A 21923-nucleotide genomic window follows, 5' to 3' on the forward strand; every position below is an offset into this window, starting at 1 on the left:
TTCTAAGCACGTGATTGGAATACAATTTTACTTGGAAAATGTCACTCTGGGGAACAGTTTGGAAGGTGGATTAGAGGACATGAGAGAAAATCGAAGGGTGGTTTATGGCAGAAGCCCAGGTCAGAGATGATGGTATGTAGTAACAGTAGAGATGAAGGAAGCTTGAGAAAAGTGAGATTCTAGACTTCTTCTTCCTCCTTCCTATCCTGGCACTACATGAATCCAATTAACCAGGCACAAATCCACGAGATTCTTCTTCTTTACTCCCACATCTCAACAGTCCTTTAAAGAGTCCTTTCTGTCTCACATCCACAGGTTTCCTCTTCATTTTCGGGGTTGCTGCCCTACTTCATACCCTTAGAACGTCCCACCTAGATTATTCTCACAGCCTCCTATGAGTATTCCTGTGTACAATATCTGTCTCCTTCAATCCATTACCACCAGAGTAACTTGTCACAGCCATCTTTAGAAGCCTTTCTTGGCTTCACCATGGAGAATCTAAGTTCAAATTCCTTAACTCAGCAGACAGATTTATTATTATCTGGCCGCTGATTGATTACTCATTCCTCTGTCTGGAATTCTCTTTCTCTCTCTCTTTCTCTCCTTCATATTTTTATTCCTTACTACTACCTCTCTAAACAGAAATTTAAACATCACCCCTCAGACAGAAAGAAAGAGAATAACTTTTAGTTTTCTGTTTACCTAAGATAAAGGTAGATGAAAGCAAGTCTAGGATTTTCAACCAAAGTACTTGCAAGAAAACTACTCTTTGACCCACTCCTCAAATTTCTTCAAACTGTCTCTTATTGAATTGCACATATAGGCACATCTCTCCTGGGTAACACTGAGTCCATTAGAGGGCTTTTGAGGGCCGGTAAAGAAACCCCAGCCCAGACATGCTTACCAAGAAGAGTATTTATCATCTCACATAATGAGGAGTCCCAAGTTTGGGCAGACTTGGGGTTAGCTTGCTCTGACATCCCCACCACTGTAATCATTCCAAAGATGGATTCCTCTGTGGTCAAAGATGGCTTCCAGTAGCAGTTGGAACCATACACTTGCTAAATCGGCCCAGTGGGAGTGTGCAGTGGGTTTCTCCTAGTCGTGGTATAGTAACACTTCCTCTCATACAGGCTAAGAGCTAGGTCAGGAGTCTATACCTAGATGAATAACCACTGCCAGGGAGATGCTGGATTTTAATTGGTCAAAACTTCTGTTCCTTAACCAGTTCCTGAACCACTACAAAACGGAATAGAATCAACTTAGATCAGTGGTTCTCAAAGTGTTCTCAAATGCTGCCCTAGTTGCACCAGTGTCATCTGGGAACTTGCTTGAAATGCAAATTCTTGTGAACCAGAAACTCTGAAGGTAGGACCAGGTGATCTGTGATGTAAGAACCCCGCTAGGTGACTCTGACTGGTGCATTCTAAAATGAGAACCACTGGCTTAGACTAATCAGGACTCGTTATGGGGTTTCTCTGAATCACATGGACTATGTAGGGAAGAATGAACTGCTAAACTGCAGTTTGAGAAAAACAGAATGTGTGTTTATGTCTGAGGGTCTTCCCAATTTGAGACTACTCCTCTTCAGGTTAAATTGTACTTTAATTTTTTATTGTAATAAGAAACTTCTCAGGACACCAAGAGAAAGAGACCAGCCGGACATTTCTTACATGTTGGTTATTCCATATCAAATGCAATGCCTAACAATTACTGGATATTACCTACTCTTTTTTCAGCCTTCTGCCTGAAGGTGGGAATCTTTAATTATACTCCTGTAAACGGAGGGAGTGCTCCCATCCTATATAATACTTTCCTTAAGGCAGAAATGATGGGCTCAGAGAAATCCAGTTACAACCTTTGCCTTATTTGGAATACAAAAGGACAATTTTTTCCTGACCTATTTATAGAAAACTGAATATCAAATAGAGAAAAAAAGCAACAATACTAAGTAAAGGCAGTTTAAGCAAAGGATTGCAGATGCAATTATTTTCAGTTCAAGCAGCTGGTCATCTAAGAGGAGCACAATAACTTTGACATGTCTTGCCTAAGGAAAATAGTCATATTAATAATCCATGAGATAAAAGAATATTATGTAAGGACCTGGAATCTCAGACCTCTTCTAGAGATTCTTCTGTGGTCCTTTAATAGAAATGTGAAATAGAAGAGTCTGCTTTAATCTAGGGAGATGTTTAAAGTGAATGTGTCAGAAATAGGAAAATGATCTATTATAGTCATTTGTTTACGTTGCTGATATCTGTGTCACTTCCAGGAAGTGGTAACTCAGTTTCCAGCAGATCCTCATCCTTTGACTTAGCTGCAAATAGCAGTAACCAACTCCACTAGTTCAATCAGAAAAGGAATTTACTGGAGGTTGTTAGTTGACGTGTTGTACAACTCCTGAATGGCCAGAGAAAGCTTTGGGGGGTAGACAGCCAGGAACAATGCCCAAAATCATACCTCATAACTGGTTGCTTCTTCCTCCACCAGGCACAGACTCCATGGTTTGCAGCATGGATCCTGACACTCAAACTGCCACTGCTTCCATGAAGAAATGGGCCTTAGCTCTTACCACCCCTATCAAAGGGATTCAGCGAGGTGCCAATATTTGTGTCACTAGCTTCCAATTCAAAGTCTGTTGCCTGTGGTTTTAATGGGCTGAGTCTAAGTCACCTGCCAACCTGGCCACATCGGAAGGTGGGGAAATGAGCAACGGACATCTGGAGTGAGATGCGGAATTCATAAGGTGAACATACCCCTAACACAGAAAGTTGTTCAAAGGTGCTAAGAAATCCAAAAAGTTGGCAAATAGCTACTAGATCCAGACTTGTGTCCTTTATGCGTTTATACTTGGATTTCATTCAATTTTTTTTTTTTTTGAGACGGAGTCTAGCTCTGTCGCCCAGGCTGGAGTGCAGTGGCGCAAACTCGGCTCACTGCAAGCTCCGCCTCCCAGGTTCATGCCATTCTCCTGCCTCAGCCTCCCGAGTAGCTGGGACTACAGGCGCCCACCACCACGCCCGGCTGATTTTTTGTATTTTTAGTAGAGACGGGTTTTCACCGTGGTCTCGATCTCCTGACCTCGTGATCCGCCCGCCTCGGCCTCCCAAAGTGCTGGGATTACAAGACGTGAGGCACCGCGCCCGGCCTCATTCAATTTTTTGCAATAAAGTGTGAGTGGAGAAGGCATCAAGGGAAGCCGTTACACTTTATCCAGTTACACACTTGTGGAGGGTCTCTTATTGTCCTAGTGTAAATGACTAAGGCCACACCTTTACAGTGCCCTACCCGGATAGCTGCCTTTGCCACCCACTAGAACCGCAGAGATAACATAGGAAAATCTCCATTAAGCAACATTCTTATCAGAAATTTCTATTATTCATGGAATAATGGGTGATCAGTCCTAGAGAAACTGTTAGTATATCTTGTCCACATTCTTCAATTTAAATAACTAACTTTTAAAATAGCTTATTTTTATTTTATTTATTTTTATTTTTTAGAGACAGGGTCTCATCATGTAAATTTATTTTTAAAGAGGCATCTGTGATATAAAATATTGTGGTATTTAAAATTTGGAATTTATAATTAAAAAATTACGTGAAGCTGGAGTTTCCTAAGCAACTTATGTGTTTAAGGGAAGAAATACATTATTTTTAAACTAACCTTACTTAATGGGGACTGTTTTAACCTTAGGCAATGGAGATCAAAGAGTTCACTATCAGAGCTGGTTTCTACCAGCCGTGGGCACTACTGTTCCGAAAAACCACCTTTCTGAATACACTGTTTACTTCCATAGGCTGAAAATCTGTCGTATTTTTTATATCTTTTAGCACAAGATGATTTACTGCCATCTGCCTTAAACTTGTAACAAGTATAAATGTACAATGTCTGAAAGGTGAGTGGTACATTGTTGAGTTGTGCAGTACATGACAGCTCTGAAGACAAGGGATGCTTTACATGTCTGGGTTGTGCAGTGCAGGAGAGATGCACTCCCTCTCCACGGAAAATCTTTCCTAGAATATATTTTGTTATAAGTCATTAACTACATGGCTATATGCCATATTTGTTAGACTGCTGTAACAAAGGATCTTACAATTCAGTGGCTCAGAAAAGATAGATGTTATCTCTCTCCCATGTAACATTATCCAGAGCAGGAGTCAACAAAATTGTAACCTGTAAGCCAAATTTGGTGCCACCCTGTTTCTGTACAGTCCTCAGGGTGAGAATGGTTTTTACATATTGAAATGGTTGTAAAAACAAGGATGTACGACAGGGACAATACGTGACCTACAAAGCCTGAATTATTTATTATTTGGCCCTTTACAGAAAAAAACTTTGCTGACCTTCGAAGTTTGATTCCTCCAGGACAGGGAGGAATTTCTGTTTCACCAGGCCACACAGGGTCTCAGGTTCCTTCTATCATGTTGTTCTAGCATCAGCCAGATATTGTCCTCATCTGCATTGTGATGGTTGGTTCATCATCACCACTTCCATATCCCAGTTAGTGCAAAGGGGAAAGAGAAAGTAAAGGGCAAGCACTTCTCTTTTTTTGTTTAAAAAGTAGGACCAGAGATTGCGTAATTACTTCCACATAAATCTCATGGACAGAGCGATAGCACACAGTCATGGTCAACTACAAGATCAGGTGGGAAATGTAATCTCTGGCTGGGCAGCAAGTGCTCAGCTAGAATCCCCAGGCTTCTATTACTAAAAGGAAAAGGAGGATTGGTAGGAGAAATTAGACATCTTTGCCACATATACTAGAGTCCTCCTGATTCCTTGGTTGGTGCTGAGCTGTCTCAAACAATTAAAATCTCCTCCATCCATGTGGCAGGATAATTCTCACGGAGTGTTTTTTGTCTGTGGGGGATTCCCTGACAACAATCAACACAAATCTTTCCAAAAAGTAAAAGAAAGAAAAAAAGAAGATAGGAAAGGAAGGTCTAGGGAAAAGGAGGTAGGAATAGCCTGGGATATGGCTCTCTTCAGATAAGTGAAGTATTCGGTGACTGCAAAAGTAATTGTGGTTTTTGTATTGTTGGAATGTGCCATTTGATATTGGAATACATTCTTAAATAAATGTGGTTATGTTATACATCATTTTAATGGGTATTTGTCACTTTTTTTTGCTAATGACTTATTACTTGCTATTTACCTTATGTTTATTTTAGACTATGGAACTGATGTCAGATGAAAAGTAAATTCGGTTGATTTTCTTATTCGATTTCAAAATGGATTGTAAAGCAGCAGAGACAACTCACAACATCAACAATGCATTTGGCCCAGGAACTGCTAGCAAACATACAGTGCAGTGCTGGTTCAAGAAGTTTTGCAAAGGAGATGAGAGCCTTGAAGATGAGGAATGTAGTGGCCAGCTATCAGAAGTAGACAATGACAAATTGAGAGCAATCATGGAAGCCCATTCTCTTAATAACTACAGGAGAAGTTGCCGAAGAACTCAACATTGACCATTCTATGGTCGTTCGGCATTTGAAGCACGCTGGAAAGGTGAAAAAGCTCAAAAAGTGGGTGCCTTGTGAGCTTAGCAAAAATTAACAAATCATTGTTTTGAAGTGCTGTCTTCTTATTCTACACAACAACAATGAACCATTTTTCAATCAGATTGTGATGTGCATCGAAAAGTGGATTTTATATGACCACTGGTGATGACCAGCTCAGTACTGGACTGAGAAGAAGCTCCAAAGCACTTTCCAAAGCCAAACTTGCACCAAAAAAAGTCATGGTCACTTTTTGGTGGTCTGCTGCCAGTCTGATCCACTACAGCTTTCTGAATCCTGGTGAAACCATTCCATCTGATAAATATGCTCAGCAAATCAATGAGACACACTGAAAACTGTAGTGCCTGCAGCCGGCATTGGTCAACAGAAAAGGCCCAATTCTTCTCCACGACAATGCCCATCCATATATCACACAACCAATGCTTCAAAAGTTGAACAAATTGGGCTATGAAGTTTTGCCCCATCTGCCATATTCACCTGACCTCTCACCAACCAACTACCGCTCTTCAAGCATCTCGAAAAGTTTTTGCAGGGAAAACCCTTCCACAAGCAGCAGAATGTAGAAAATTCTTTCCAAGAGTTTGAAGAATCCCGAAGCACAGATTTTTATGCTACAGGAATAAACGAACTTCTCATGTGTTTATTGTAATGGTTCCTATTTTTTTGTAATTAATGTGTTTGAGTTTAGTTATCATGATTTAAAATTCATTGTCCAAAACTGCAATTACTTTTGCACCAACCTTGTTTTAGGATCCTTCAGTTAATAGCCAAAGCAGCTGAAAATTACTAACTTTCTCAGCCACTTCCTGTCTTTCCTGAGGAGGCTTGTAGAAGACACCCCTAGTTGCCTACCTCTGGTAGAGACTCCCAATTATAAAAACTGCCTAATAGTCCAGTCAGAGGATAACACACATCCTAATCAGGTTCCTGGTACATGCAGGTGAATGCAGTCCTAACCGAAATTAGGTTTCCTATCACTCAGTTTTTATTTGTTGCATATTTTTCAGTGATGGCGTTAAATTGTTGCCATGAGTGAGGAAGCATGAAAATGTATCTATGATCTCTGCACTCCAACTCTCCTGAATAAAACACTGGACAGGGCCAAAACCCTGAGGAGCCTGTCTAATAGGGTAGACAGAGACAGCAGCACTATGGATGCCTTTAAGGAACAGCGGCATCTCTGAATGCCTGCTGTCCTGAGAGGGTGTGCGAAGTCTTGCGGGCCCAGCAGAACTCTGAAGCAGCTGCATATACTGGAGAAGGCTGACACATACAGATTGGGAGACAAGAAAGAGCAGAAGGGATTTCCCGGGGCATCAATAGAGGACTGACAATTTGTTGTAAATTGCAGACCGATCAGAGTAGAATACTATGCTCCTAGCACCAGCCAGCCCCGACCACTCAGGGTAAATAGAACTATAAGTGTGGGGGTGGGGGGGAAGACAGCACAGCACACTTAAGAAGAACTGAGCAACTGGAGGATGAAGGACAACGCAGAATAATTCCTGGGGGCTCTGGAACATAGACCTGCCAGAGGAGAGCGAAGACAATGACTTTCATAAAGAATCATAGTACTTAATGAGATTCTATTCCAACATAGGAAGACTCCAGACAACTGAAAAGTATTGATTTCAAAGTGAAAACAACTACATAGATTAATGAGAAAAGAGGATGGTCATTTCTGAGAACTAACTTAAGAGTCTGGAAAAAATAAATGGAAGACATCTTCCATTTATTTTGAACACAGGTGACAAAAAGGGATAGTATATCTTTTAAAATTCAATTGCAAATACAGAAAACACTGCAGTTGGTTTAAGCAGGAAGGAATTTAGCATAGAAAAGTGGGTGCTTACAAAATATTTAGGACTAGAGGAGCAAGTGCTAGGTTATCTCCCAGAATTAGTCTATCAAATTAGTGCTTCCACCAGTCAGGATGACGGGGAACTAGGGAGCCACTGCCCCTCTCCCCTGTTGACTCCAAGACCAGCAGCTCAGCTGGGTGCCAACAAAAAGACCCGCTTATGCCTGATCTCACAGCACCCACAGCTAGTAACCAGCTGGGACACTGTCACTGTTGCCACTGGAAAAAAAAAAAAGCCTGTAAAATTGCGCTGCAGAAACACTGGTTCCTCCTCACTCTACCTCTTGCCTGAATTTATATGTTTGGTGGAAGGCAGGTTAAATGTGGGACACAGTTGGAAGCAAGTCTGGGAAATGTGGTCTTTGCTTTTCCTAAATCTAACATACACTAAAGCATATTAGAAGTGGTTTGGAATCATATTCTCTACCATATATGATATAGACAACATTTGTCACTATTTTTATCTGTTTGGCAGAAACCCCCACAACATGTAGTACTATATTTCATCAATTCTAGGATGCATACTATTTATTCACAATTAAACATCTCCAAACTTGGGAGATGGCATTTTAAATTCCCCTACTTCAGGGGATGTCCAGTCAAACAAAAGGGGAAAATAAATGCTCAATAAATGTTGGCTATTATTATCCTCATCAAGATATTAAAAAATAAAAGGAGAGATTAGTGGCAGCATATTTTAAAAGTGGTTAAGCATCTTGCTATTTAACTTAAAAACTGAAAGGATAGACAACTCTTATTTTTGTATACTGACGCTCACACACAGCAATCTGTACATTTTATAATTTGTAAATACAATACAAAATTCCAGCCATTAGCATCTGCACAGTAGTTGGCAAATAAAATCCCCAATAACAAAGCAGAAGAATTATCTATTATGAGGTTGAAAACAGAATTTGAAATCATTTTGAGTTAAGGTATGGGAAACACTTGGGAAAAGTAGCAAATAGCAGCATGAAACAAGATATTGCTTGTTGATGATTTTAATTTAAATTTTTATGAAAGACTCCACATCAACTGAGAGTTAAATAATAAATGTGAAGCTGTAAGGTAGAGCTGAATTAATATGAAAAATCTTGTAATTATTTCTTAGCAAACTTTTAGAGATTTGGATTTAAAACCAGAAACATATCTTCTAAAAAAAGAAGAGGCTATTCTGTGTGTATGGGGGAACAGAACATATATTTAATACACAGTGTGGAGTAATCCATTTTAAATCTTACAGGCACTATCTCAACTGCTTTAAGAGTTATTTTAACATTTCTGAATGGGATCTTTAGGGGTTAACATGTTTCAAAATGTAATTTTTTTAAAGAAGGCTGCCTCTTTTACATATGCTTTTGAATTTCTTCAATCAGATCCACACTAGCTGAGCCTCCAGCATTTTAAAAGGTAAAATTAGACACTGAACTTTGTATTTTGCACAACCAAACACAGTGCTCAGGACCTCTCATTGGATTTGCAGTTAAGTTTGGATATGTCTAATAGGTGCTAAAGCACCCTGGACTTTATCTGAGCACTTACCAAGCTATTATGTAAATGCTGGTTTTATTATCTCACTCTACTCAGAGGGCAAGTGTCATCTCGGTTTTGTTATTTTTTCACCCCCAATACTTGGCAATGTGTATGCTCATTAAACATCTATTGAATAAGTCAATTATCAAGCTAATGAATTATTGAGCTGTAAACCTGCAAAAAAGAAACACTGCAAGAGACTTGAAATTAAAATAGTCTTGAAGTCTCTTTCAGATCTTGGCATGGTACCTTCTTTCAGGGAAGGAGGAAAAATTACAAAGGAGCTGAGTTTTGTCCTTATAGGAAAATCTCTTCCTTAAAACTTTTTTCAAAGATTATTTTGCTATGAAACTTAGAACATATGCACATACATAAAAGAGGATAGAGAAATATACATACAGTTCAACATGTATGTAGAAGGTGAATGCTTAAGTTTAGGACCCAGGTCAAAAATTACAACATTGCTAGGACCCCAGAAGCACCCTCCCAACCCTCCCAACTCACCTGCTGTGACACCTGCCAGTCACAAGCCACCCCTTCTCTTCTCTAGAAAACAAGGTCACCACTGTCTTAATGTTTATAGGAATTTTTTTTGTTTTGTTTTATCATCCATGTTCAAATTCCTAAATTACACAGTTGAACTTAATTGCTTTAAGTAGTGAGTTTCCATGGTTCATCAAGATTAGGTTACTGTTTAAAATCCTCAAGAATATTTCACGTCTAGTAAGCAAAGAAAGGAAGGCATATGGATTGCCAGATAACCAAAAATATGTCTTTTCTTCCATCACACAAAAATAAAACAAAGTTTTACAAACACTGGCCATTCTCTTGCAATTTGGAAAAAGAACAATACAGTAAAAATAATTTCATAGCAACATGTTTATTTAAGCCCTAGCTAAGTTTTCATTTACAAGCAAATATTTTCAGGGGAAAAAATCACATAAGACAATATTTTCAAATGTTATACCATCTACATAAAAATTAAACTTGCAGAATTTACAAATTAATATTCTGAGCAGACAGAAATATTATACATCCTTTTGCAAAATCCAGTCAACAACTTTTAAAAATTCATACAGGCACAACACAAGATAGTCTCTCTATACAATCTACCTATTTACATAGCTTTTCCCACCACAGATGATAATAGCTCTCATCATAGCTACCAAGGTTCGCAAACATAGTATATTTAAAATATATTTAGCAGCATATAAAAAATTAGATAAAAGGGAAGGAAATACTACTATTAAATAAAAACAAAATTAAATGGTCATAATAGAAACAACTCCATAGGAAAATAGATCAAAATATATTTCTGTTAGGACATCAACAATGTTTCCCATCACAGAATATATGCACAGCACTGGAAAAAAAAAAAAAAATTAACAGCATTTTAGTCCTGAGCACAGAATATAGTAGAGCTGCAAAACTTTGGTCAATACAAGTAAATGCCAACATTTAACACAAACTGTCTACCCTTCTCTGTTAGTAGATTAAGATCAATTCCACCTTATGAAAATTCATCAATAATATTCTCATATCTTATTTTTGTCCATTACATTAAAAGAGCTTTGAAATTTGGGAATCCACTACAGACTGATATAAATACCTGACAAGCAAACCACAATTTGACTAACATTTTCAATATTTAGTTTAAATACATAAATCACTTGAATAAACTACATGAATGAGTTAATGGTGGGCTGCATCGTATTCCAGGTGTGTTTTCTGACTGTCACAAAAGCAGACGTCTTGGTAATTCAAATAATTTGAAAGTGTGTTTTATAGATAGGCACAAAAATTCAGCCACAATAAAAGTGTGAATAAAGCAATATATCAATTGTAGGATATATATCTATTGGTTGATCTTAAAACTAAGCACACAGGATAGTACACAATTTTATTAGAATACCATTTATAGTCAGCAGTTGAATTCAGATATATTTTCCAGTTAATCCGATTCATACGTTTTGCCTAGTAAGTACAGGACAACATTTTCCATAAAGAATACAGAGTATTATCACAGCATTCAGTTTACAACCTATCTTCATTCATGTTTAATTACTGGCAATATCTTCCCCCAGATCTCCTGTGTCAGAGATCTGACCATCTTGCAAATTGCGAGCCTTCCAAATTCTCACAGTTCGATCACTACAAAAAAATAAACAAAACATGGATATATGAACAAGGGCAGAAAGATAAAGAAATAGCTCTTATAATTACTTATCATGGAAATATTTTCTACATAGGTCTTCAAGAAATCCAAGTATAAATATGCATTGTCTCATTTATATAGCAAACACATACCTTAATAATAACAGCTTATATTATCAAGGGCTTACTGTGAGCCAGGCATTGTTACCATGTGCCCTTTACATATGTTAACACACATTTAATTCCCTTTAACTACCATCAGCAATAGCTACTGCTATAATCCTCTTTTTATTGAAGAGCTAATTGAGGCCCAAATCACATGTAAGTGACACAGCTGAGATGTGAATCCAGGCAGTCTGGCTCCGAGCCCTATCTCTTTAACACTGGGTCTGCAGTCATTATTCTAAAAGACAGTATGTGATTTGACACAGTGTCAGAAGGCTTCAGTCAAAACAGCCTGCAGGTCACAGTGAGGCTTCTAGGCAGGGAGAAAGCTGGGGCAGGGTTTCTAGGGAGTTAGCGAATCTGGCAAAGTCATGAAGAATTATCTCTGGGTAAACTCAGCAAATAAGCCCACAGAAAAATAAAGAGGCTATTGAGAAGTGAACTAATACTCCACTTAGCACAGAATGTAGAAGATTAAAAGCGATTCTGATGCCCTGTAAATATACACAGTTATTGTTCATTGAAATTGAAATTTTTTATAAAAAGGGAAGAAATAGTATTTCTGAGAAAACATGTTTCTGTTGCCCTCGCAGGTGAATACTGGGGACCAGTCATTAGATAATCACATTTCTTAACATATCTCTCATGGTTAAAGAAATGTTTCTTTTTCCAATTTCCTGATTAACCCAAAGTAAAAAAAATAAATAAAGAAGAGTTTCCATGGAATTTAATAGTTAAAATGCACTTCAGAGATTATGTATTCCATCCCAAGGGAAAAAAGGTTTAGTGGAGTGCCAATGTAACACAGCAAAGGCTTTCTAGAACCCAGGCTTTCTAGATTGTAATCAGTTATCTTCTCACCATCCCACACAGCACACATACATTGATAACAGCAATGGAATATTTTCATTTATCCACCCATTCAAGCATTGCATTTATTCATTCAACCATTTACTCAACAAATGTTTACTGAGAACCTGCTACATGCCAAGCATGCTTGGGATATGTTTTTTTTTTTTTTTTTTTTTTTTTTTGACAGAATCTCGCTCTGTTGCCAGGCTGGAATGCAGTGGCGCGATCTCGGCTCCTCTGCGCAAACTCTGCCTCCCAGGTTCAAGAGATTCTCCTGCCTCAGCCTCCCAAGCAGCTGGGAAAACAAGCGCATGCCACTATGCCTAGCTAATTTTTATTGCGTTTTTAGTAGAGATGGGGTTTCACCATGTTGGCCAGCCTCGATCTCTTGACCTCGTGATCTGCCTGCCTCGGCCTCCCAAAGTGCTGAGATAACAGGCGTGAGCCACTGCGTCCACCCTGGGATATGGTTTTTTTGTTTGTTTGTTAAAAAAAAAAAAAAAAAAAAAAGCATTCTAAGTGCTTGGGATACGCTTTTTTTTTTTTTTTTAAACAGAGTCTCACTCTGTGGCCCAGGCTGGAGTGCAGTGGCTAGATCTTGGCTCACTGCAAGCTCCGCCTCCCGGGTTCAGGGCATTCTCCTGCCTCAGCCTCCTGAGTAGCTGGGACTACAGGCGCCCACCACCATGGCTGGCTAATTTTTTTGTATTTTTAGTAGGGACAGGGTTTCACCGTGTTAGCCAGGATGGTCCCGATCTCCTGACCTCATGACCCGCCTGCCTCGGCCTCCCAAAGTGCTGGGATTACAGGCATGAGCCACCACGCCTGGCCAGGATATGCTGTTTTAAAAAAAACAAAAATAAAATTTAAAAGCTCAAATCTTTTGCCTTTGTAGATCATATACTTTAGCAAAAGGAGACAGACAATAAACCATAATAAATGATTAAACTATAGAGTATATTAGAAGGTGACTAGTGCCACAGGGGTGGAAAAAAAAGGAGAGCACAACCAAGGGGACCTGGAGTGCTAGGTGATAGAAGAGATTACAATTTTAAATAAAATGGCCAGGATACTCTTACTGAGGAAGAAAGACTTGCAGGGTCAGGACATTTGAGAGAAAAACATTCCAGGCCAAAAGAGCAGCTAGGGCAAATGCCCTCAGGCAGGAGTGGCTTTGGAATGTTCAAGGACCAGCAAAGAGGTTATTGGGGTTGCAAGAAAAGGACAAGCCAGAGGGTATCAGATGATAAGGCAAGGGCGATAATAGATGTTCAGAGGGCAAGATCAAGTATGGACTCAACTCTACATGAAATGGAGGACCACTGTAGGGTTTTGAATAGAGAAGGAATATCATCTAACATACTTTTAAAGGATTATTGTAGATTTTGTGTTGAGTGTAGACTACATATGAGCAAAGGACTTTGTTTAGAAGTCTATTATAGTAATTCAAGAGTTGACAGTGATTAAGTCTGGTGAAGAAGTAGAGGATGTGGTAAGAAGTGGTTAGATTCTAGATATAATTTAAAGGTAGAACTAACAGGACTTGATGATGGATTAGATATGGAGTACAAAAGAAGGGGAGGAATGAAAGGTTCTGTCCCAAGCACAGAAATGTCAAGGAAGCTATCAACTGTGATGGAGAAGGTTGTAGAATGAGCAGGTTTCTTGAAAAGATCAGGAGCAGCCATCCCATTACTGGGTATATACCCAAAGGACTATAAATCATGCTGCTATAAAGACACATGCACACGTATGTTTATTGCGGCACTATTCACAATACCAAAGACTTGGAACCAACCCAAATGTCCAACAATGATAGACTGGATTAAGAAAATGTCGCACATATACACCATGGAATACTATGCAGCCATAAAAAATGATGACTTCATGTCCTTTGTAGGGACATGGATGAAATTGGAAATCATCATTCTCAGTAAACTATTGCAAGAACAAAAAACCAAACACCGCATATTCTCACTCATAGGTGGGAAGTGAACAATGAGAACACATGGACACAGGAAGGGGAACATCACACTCTGGGGACTGTTGTGGGGTGGGGGGGTGGGGAGGGATAGCATTGGGAGATATACCTAATGCTAGATGACGAGTTAGTGAGTGCAGCGCACCAGCATGGCACATGTATACATATGTAACTAACCTGCACATTGTGCACATGTACCCTAAAACTTAAATTAAAAAAAAAAAGTTTAATAGAGCTAAACTAAAACAAATGAAACCAAAATCAAAATAAACAAGAAAACCCCACCCTTAGACACACATATACCATTTTATTCTAGTTTGTCATTATTGCCTGGGAGCAGGCAATAATAATAATTATTATTATTATTATTGATCAAAATAATAAAGTATTGTATTTTGGTATTATCAAAAAAAAAAAAGAAAAGAAAAGATCAGGAGCTCAATTTTGGATATGTTAAGTTTGAGATGATTAAATTTCCACTACTAGCCATGACAGAGTAACTCACACCAGGTTAACCCCCCTATTGTAAACAAAGAGAAAACTTGACAAAATTTATGGAGCAGCTGTTTTCAGACACTAGGCAAAAGGCAGTGCGAGGCTGTGATCCTGGAGAAAAGGGAAACAAAGAAGATGAACTGTGTGATAGCCCCAGCTATCTGCCTGGAAGCATTTTCCACACCACAGCAAAGGGAGAGGGAACCCAAGCAGAGAATCACAGGAGCACTTAGCTGAAGAGACAAAACAAAATCCAGAAAGTAGAGAAGAGGAGAGATCTATGCAGAGAAAAGAACTCTACAAATCTACATAGGGTCCCCTAAAGTCTTTGACTGAATGTTAAGTTGTACATGAGTAGAGTGCAACTATAAGGTCAGACAGCAAACAGCTACCAGGGAGCTATATATTGAAAACCTCCCAGAGTTCATACAGGGCTATGAGATGTTCAATTTCTGACCGGTATAGTAGAGAGATACCACTGAACACCTGGGACATTCAGTAGAACTGCAGGAAGAGTTAAACTTTCGTAGAAGAGCCAACTAACCCTAGAGTAATGGCTACTCTAGACCTACCTAACAAAGGTTAAAAACAAGTGTTAAAAACATAAAACTGAACCACAAGTAATCCAATTGCCTGATAAACAAAGCCTGATACTCTTTAAATGAATAAAAAGTACAACAAAATTGAGATACTCAAAATATTACAATGTCTAACATTTAATAAAATATTACTTGACATGAAAAGCAGCAGAAGAAAATGAGACCAGTAATTATGAGAAAAATCAATGATATCAGATCCAGAAATGACAGGTATGATGAAATTATCTATGTAAGTTATAAAGTGCCTCAGTTTTCCTACTTGTAAAATAGAGATTATAATAATAATACTTAACTTCTAGAGTTATTCTAAGGACTAAATGAGTTAATGTCTGCAAAGCAGTTAGAACAATGCCTCGCACATAGTAAGCACTATATAAATATTTATTAAATAAGTAAGTAGAACTAATTTTTTAAAATTCCTTCTGATTTTCTTGGTTATTTTCCTGTGATTTTGAAAATATGTAGTAGACATATTTGCATGTGATAGACACTGAGTAAGCTGAGAAAAAGTTTAGCTCTTCATCTGCACAGCAAAAGAAACTATCAATAGAGTAAACAGACAACCTACAGAATGGGAGAAAATATTTGCAAACTATGAATCTGACAAAGGTCTAATATCCAGCATCTCAGGAACTTAAACAAATTTATCAGGAAAAAAACGAAAAACCCATTTAAAAGTAGAAAAAGGTCATGAACAGACACTTTTCTAAGGAAGACATACATGCCGCTAACTAGAATATGAAAAAAAGCTCAACATTATTAGAGAAATGCAAATTAAAACCACAATGAAATACCATCTCACACCAGTCAAAATGGCTACTATTAAAAAGTCAAAAATAACACATGTCAACAAGGTTGTGGAAAAAGGGAACACTTATACACTGGTTAGTAGGAGTGTAAATCAGTTCAACCATTGTGGAAAGCAGTGTGGCAATTCCTCAAAGAGCTAAAAACAGAACTACCATTTGACTCAGCAATCTCATTACTGGGTGTATAGCAGAGGAATATAAATCATTCTACCATAAAGACACACGCACACAAATGTTCATAACAGCACTATTCACAATAGCAAAGACATGGAATCAACCTAAATGCCCATCAATGACAGATTGGATAAAGAAAATGTGGTACATATACATCATGGAATACCATGCAGCCATAAAAATAAATGAGATCATGTATTTTGTGGGAACATGGATGGAGCTGAGACTATTATCCTTAGCAAACAAATGCAGAAACAGAGAACCAAATATCACATGTTCTCACTTATAAATGGGAGCTAAATGATGAGAACTCATAGACACAAAAAAGGGAACAACAGACACTGGGGCCTATTTGAGGGTGGAGGGTGGGAGGAAGGAGAAGAGCAGAAAAAAGTAACTATTGGATACTAGGCTTAGTACATGGGTGATGAAATAATCTGAACAACAAACACTGGTGACACAAGTTTACCCATATAAAAAACCAGCACATGTACCCCTGAACCTAAAATAAAAGTAAAAAAAAAGAAAAATTTTAGCTCTTCAAAACTGAGACCATATCCTGGAAGGTAAGTAAGTACAATTACATTACATGTCAATCCCCAGGCCTCACTGATACACAATACTAAGTCTTGTATTGGGTGTCCCACAGCCAATGTGGGATATATCCAGTAAATTTTCAAGGACACAATAAGTTTCCAAGGAAGTAAGCAAAAGCGGTGACTTTTCAGAAAGTAATGCATCTTGGAAATAGCATCAATGAAGCATCAAAGGTAAGCACGTTAGAAAAACAAAATAAATCGGCTCTGATGCAACTTAAAGATGAAAGTAAATCTAAATGAAAGGAGAAAGTCAATGGAAACTGCACAAATAAAAATAAATGACACAGAAATAAAGTAAAGGCTTCAAAATAAAATCAGGGTGTTCATGCATTTGAGATACACTGAATAAAGGCAGTGCTCAAATTAAATAGATATAAATGGTACACAAACAAAATTGGGAGGTGTTTTAGATAGTCATAAGAAATTACATTTTATTTGAATGAGACCTACACTTCACATTATATAATACATACACTTTCCTTTTCAAAGTACATATATATATGTACTATATATAATGTCATTTATATATATAAACTGTCATTTTACAGTCACATCTTTCTACCTCCTTCAAGTATCTTAAATGTCACTTTCTCCATGAGGCCTTCGCTGACCACCCTATTTTGTAACCCTGCCCTAGGAAAATCCCATCCCCTTTCTCTCTTTTCTTTTTCACCATTGCACTTGTCACCATCTAACACATTCTACCTAATGTATTTTCCATTTCTTCTCATAAGAATATAGACTGGGTTTGGAATCTGTTTTGCTCACTGCTGTATTCCCAGGAGTCTGGAACAATTCCCAGCACTTAGAAGATTCATTGTGAATGAACAAATGAGTCAATCAATCCAGCCATCCACAAGCGGGAGGAAGCAGATGTTATTACTATGTACTTATACTTTAAAGGGAGGAGGAAGCACAGAGAGTTTTTAAATAATTTGTTCCAAATATGAAGAATGGCAAATTTGTTGCCTTTCTGAAAATAAAAATCATTAGAAATTAGTCATTATTTTCTAAAAGTCAAAATCATCAAGGAAACATGTGACAGCACACTTCCTAAAATAAGCAGAGTGCTATACAGGAGTAACAGTATTGTCATGTAACCTGGGGTGCCTAAATTCAGTGCCCACATGTACATCAGAAAATATGAATAAGACATCTTAAAACAGACATTAGAATGATTATAAGAAGGATTTTGTATATTCAACGTTTCTAGATATTTACAACATATTTATTAAATCTGAACAGAAGCAACCAATATAGAGAAAAATCATATAAGAAAACTTACTCAGCTGCAGTAAAAATGTGGGTGGAATTAACACATATGGCATTGATAGGACTATCATGACCCTTCATCTCTCCCACTGGCATAAAAGTATCCATGTTCCAGACTTTCAAAATGCCCCCTCTGCAGCCACTGAGCAAAACTGGGTGGTCTGGCACCACTCCCAGGGCACAGACCCAATCCTTATGTGCATTTGGAACTTGCTAAAAGAAAAAAAGTGAAATCAGCAGCTTAAGGAGAGCTTCCAAACTGACATTTTCACATGAAAATAAACTGAAAAACATTTTATTGCCAAAACTTGATATTTGGAATTGGCTGGAGAAAGTTTATTTTCTATGCAATCACTCTTAGTGATTTAAAGAAATAAACGGATAATTTGCTTCCCAACTTGCCTCACTAATTTTCATCACTGTTATCAGCATATAAGGGCTATAATCTACAGAATGTAAAAGACCCTGAAAATACATAGAACTTTCGAGCATCACATCCTCTTCATGGGCAGTAAATATATTACCTTTCTCCAAAATGTATTAAATAAAGCAAGTTTGAAAACTGCAACCTGGTATGTGGACTATAAGGACTGGCTCATAATACCACCAGTTTAAACTTTCAATAGAGAATATAGAGGCCTGAAGATTTATGCAGAAGACCAGAGATAATCTATATATTTCATGATGAGTAAACAGTAATTACAAGATCAGACTATATGACTATACTTCATGCATAAGTGTATTTATATGCACAATATAAAATTATAATCATGAATGTATGTTTATTTTTAAAAAGCTTTTGAATGCAACACTGTATATGCATCTATTGCCAAGATTTTTCTATTAATATTTATGTTTCTTGTTTGTTTGGTTTTCATCTGCTGATTACAAGCAGGAAAGTGGAAGCAACTACGACATATAAATACCCACACATATATATAAGGAAAAACTTGAAAAGAATTTCATCTGTTAACTAATTTCTTTTCCAGGGAATTAGGAAAAGACAGCAATATTTGAATTTATTGACACATCACTTCAACCCAACTATCATTTTGTAGGAAATGAGAGAACCACCACTCTTAGATGCATGAAAATGCTCTTACAGATAAGGAATTATTTATATTACTCTTGACTTTAGCTAAACTTGGAACTCTTTGGAATAGGTGTACATAAACAAAAGCAAAACAAAATGAGAAACTGCAACTGCTCTACTCCCAGGCTGATTTTATTTAATAAACACATGCATGGAGCAACCCTAGATCTTTCAACTCTTATCAGCATCTCTTCTTCTCTTATCTAGCGGGTATTATTCAATGTTGACTGTTTCCCTTCTCCCAGTGAAGAACTCTGGGGAGGATGAAACATTCTTTAAGAAAAAGGCCTGATTAATATTATCTGTAAATGATAAAAATCTACATAGAAGCTCTTCAAGTTCTTCTACAGGCTACAGGATTGTGTTGAAATGCCCACTCTATACCATGAAAAGGTTCTGCATTACCTGAAGAAGGTCTTTTTGAGTTAAGTCCCATTTCTTGATTCCATTATCTCTAGACCCACTAAATAGGTTATCCCCTTGAATGGTTAGTGCTTCTATGCCATCATAATGAGGGGGTTCAAAATTGTGGGTGGGACTCACAGTCCCAAGAGCTCCTTCTGTAACATCAAACATCTAAAAAGGTAGAAACAAAGCAGTTATCCTATTTAACTTGCAAATAAACACCAATATTTGTACAGTCCTAGAAACACATACACATGTATGTTAATCAGACATGACTTGTTTTGTTATCTATTGTTTCTGGTTTGTTAAATGTTTTCTTTTTATTTATTTTATTTATTATTTTGAGATAAGGTCTCACTATGTTTCCCAGGCTGGAGTGCAGTGCTTATTTACAGGTGCAATCATACTGCACAGCTGCCTTAACTGCAGGCTCAAGCGATCCTCTTACCTCAACCTCCCGAGTAGCTGGGATTACAGGCATGCATGATGGCACCAGCTCTTAATTATTGTTTTGTTTTGTTATTTGTTGTTATGTATGTTTTACTAAGTTAATTAAATTAACCTGGCATGAATGACAACTGAAGATAAACCTGTGCCCTTTTTTTCACACTACTTTTGCTTGCATGTTACATGCTTTGTGTCTGTAGGCTTTTAAGAAAGGAAACCAGATTTTTTTCATGTATAAGTGCACAAATGATATGTTCAATAATAAAAATATTACATATCAATCCAGTTGAAATTCAAATAAACAATATGGTTATTATTTAATGACTATTAGGTAACTCTGCAGTCCCGGAGGTCATCTCCAATTCCCCAAAGCTGCTGTTCAAAATCGTTTCACTTTCCTCAGTTGCACTCATCTCTCTTAGCCCGTAACCTTGTGCTTTCCTGAAAAGGCTAGTGTCATAAAAAATAAACTTTTTAGACACTCTTCTCCATTCTAAAAGTTTCTTTTTATCTTCAAACTTCTTTTTACCCTTCCCTTCTTTATCAGAGGCTAAAGTATACTTACTTATTTTCAATGTTCACATCTATGATCTAACTCCTCCTACCACCTTCATCAATTGCCACCACTTCAGTTTTCTCCTCACTCATTCCCTCTCCACTAAGCCCAGCTCCTAAGTACATAAATACGTTCATGTCTCTAGGGTATAGAATCCTCTTTTCTTAACCATTCTAATTTCAAGTCATTAACCCATCTCTCATTTCTTAATCAAAGTTTCTAGAATGAGTACTTACATTCTTCCTACCTCTCTTTCTTACCTTCTTCCTATTGATTCTCACAGATATTCCCCAAGGCTGAGTTCCCAGTCAACTTCTCTCTACCTTGGCCACATCATCAACTCTTTACTCTTTGAACATCTGGTTCTCTTTGAATGGCTCCCCAAACCTACATCTCTAGTCACAACTTATTTTAAACTCTAGACTTGAATTTCTAATGGCCTTCTGGCCACGTGAATGTCCTTTATTAGTATTTCATTTAACATTTAAATTTAACATTTTTAGAATCAAACTATGCATCTTTCCTTACCTTATCTGTTAATTTCATAAAATTCTGAAGATCATAATATTTTCGGGATAAAAGATCATGACAATAAGACTCATGTATGAGTTGGAAGACTGAGTTAAAAGAGCTTTAAAATGTTTTCCAACCTTTCTTCTATGAAAAGTGAGAATGCATGATTGAACAATAAGACAACAAAACCACTAACTATGAATGAGGAAAAGATTAAAAAGAAAAAGCAAAGACTAGAAAGGAAAAAAGAAAATAAGAGAAAGAGGTCCTAGATGAATCTGAATACTTCAAAATTATCATTTAATAGACAAATATAATTCAGAAAGTCTCTTATACATACTTTGATGTAATGATCCTTGGAGCCAGTGATGATTAGATCTTGTCCACTGGAAATCTGATCCACAGTAAGGCACATAACAGGGCCTAGGTGTCCTGTTAACTTTCCTGTAGACTGAAACCTTTAAAAATAAAGAAAAATAGTTTTGTTTAAAATTATTTCTTAGTATGATGGGACTAAGCCTCAACATAAACGATCTACATTCTTTCATAAAATAATTCACTAACTTTTTTTTTTCTTTGTATATGTTTAGAGATGGGATCTTGGGCCGGGTGCAGCGGCTAATGCCTGTAATCCCAGCACTTTGGGAGACCGAGGTGGACGTATCACCTGAGGCCAGGAGTTTGAGACCAGCCTGGCCAACATGGTGAAACCCCGTCTCTACTAAAAATATAAAAATTAGCCGGATGTGGTGGTGGGTGCCTGTACTCCCAGCTACTCAGGAGGCTGAGGCAGGAGAATCGCTTGAATCTGGGGGTGGGAGGCTGCAGCAAGCCGAGATTGAGCCACTGCACTCCGGCCTGGGCAACAGAGCGAGAATCCGACTCAAGAAAAAAAA

General features: G+C 37.7%; 1 protein-coding gene across 33 annotated transcripts in view; it reads right to left on the minus strand.

Moving 5' to 3' along the window:
- Positions 9775-21923, minus strand: part of KIF21A (kinesin family member 21A) — a 149893-nt gene continuing 137744 nt past the window's right edge. For all 33 annotated transcript variants that reach the window (XM_047429133.1, XM_047429128.1, XM_047429123.1 and 30 more), the window contains 4 exons: positions 21368-21485; positions 19512-19682; positions 18027-18226; positions 9775-11064 (listed from right to left, as the gene is read on the minus strand). In XM_047429133.1, the coding sequence (XP_047285089.1) occupies positions 10971-11064; positions 18027-18226; positions 19512-19682; positions 21368-21485 (583 nt within the window). In that variant the 3' untranslated portion in view covers positions 9775-10970. The remainder of the gene's footprint in view (positions 11065-18026; positions 18227-19511; positions 19683-21367; positions 21486-21923) is intronic.

Source organism: Homo sapiens, chromosome 12, assembly GCF_000001405.40.
Source record: "Homo sapiens chromosome 12, GRCh38.p14 Primary Assembly".
Taxonomy (NCBI): Eukaryota; Metazoa; Chordata; class Mammalia; order Primates; family Hominidae; genus Homo; species Homo sapiens.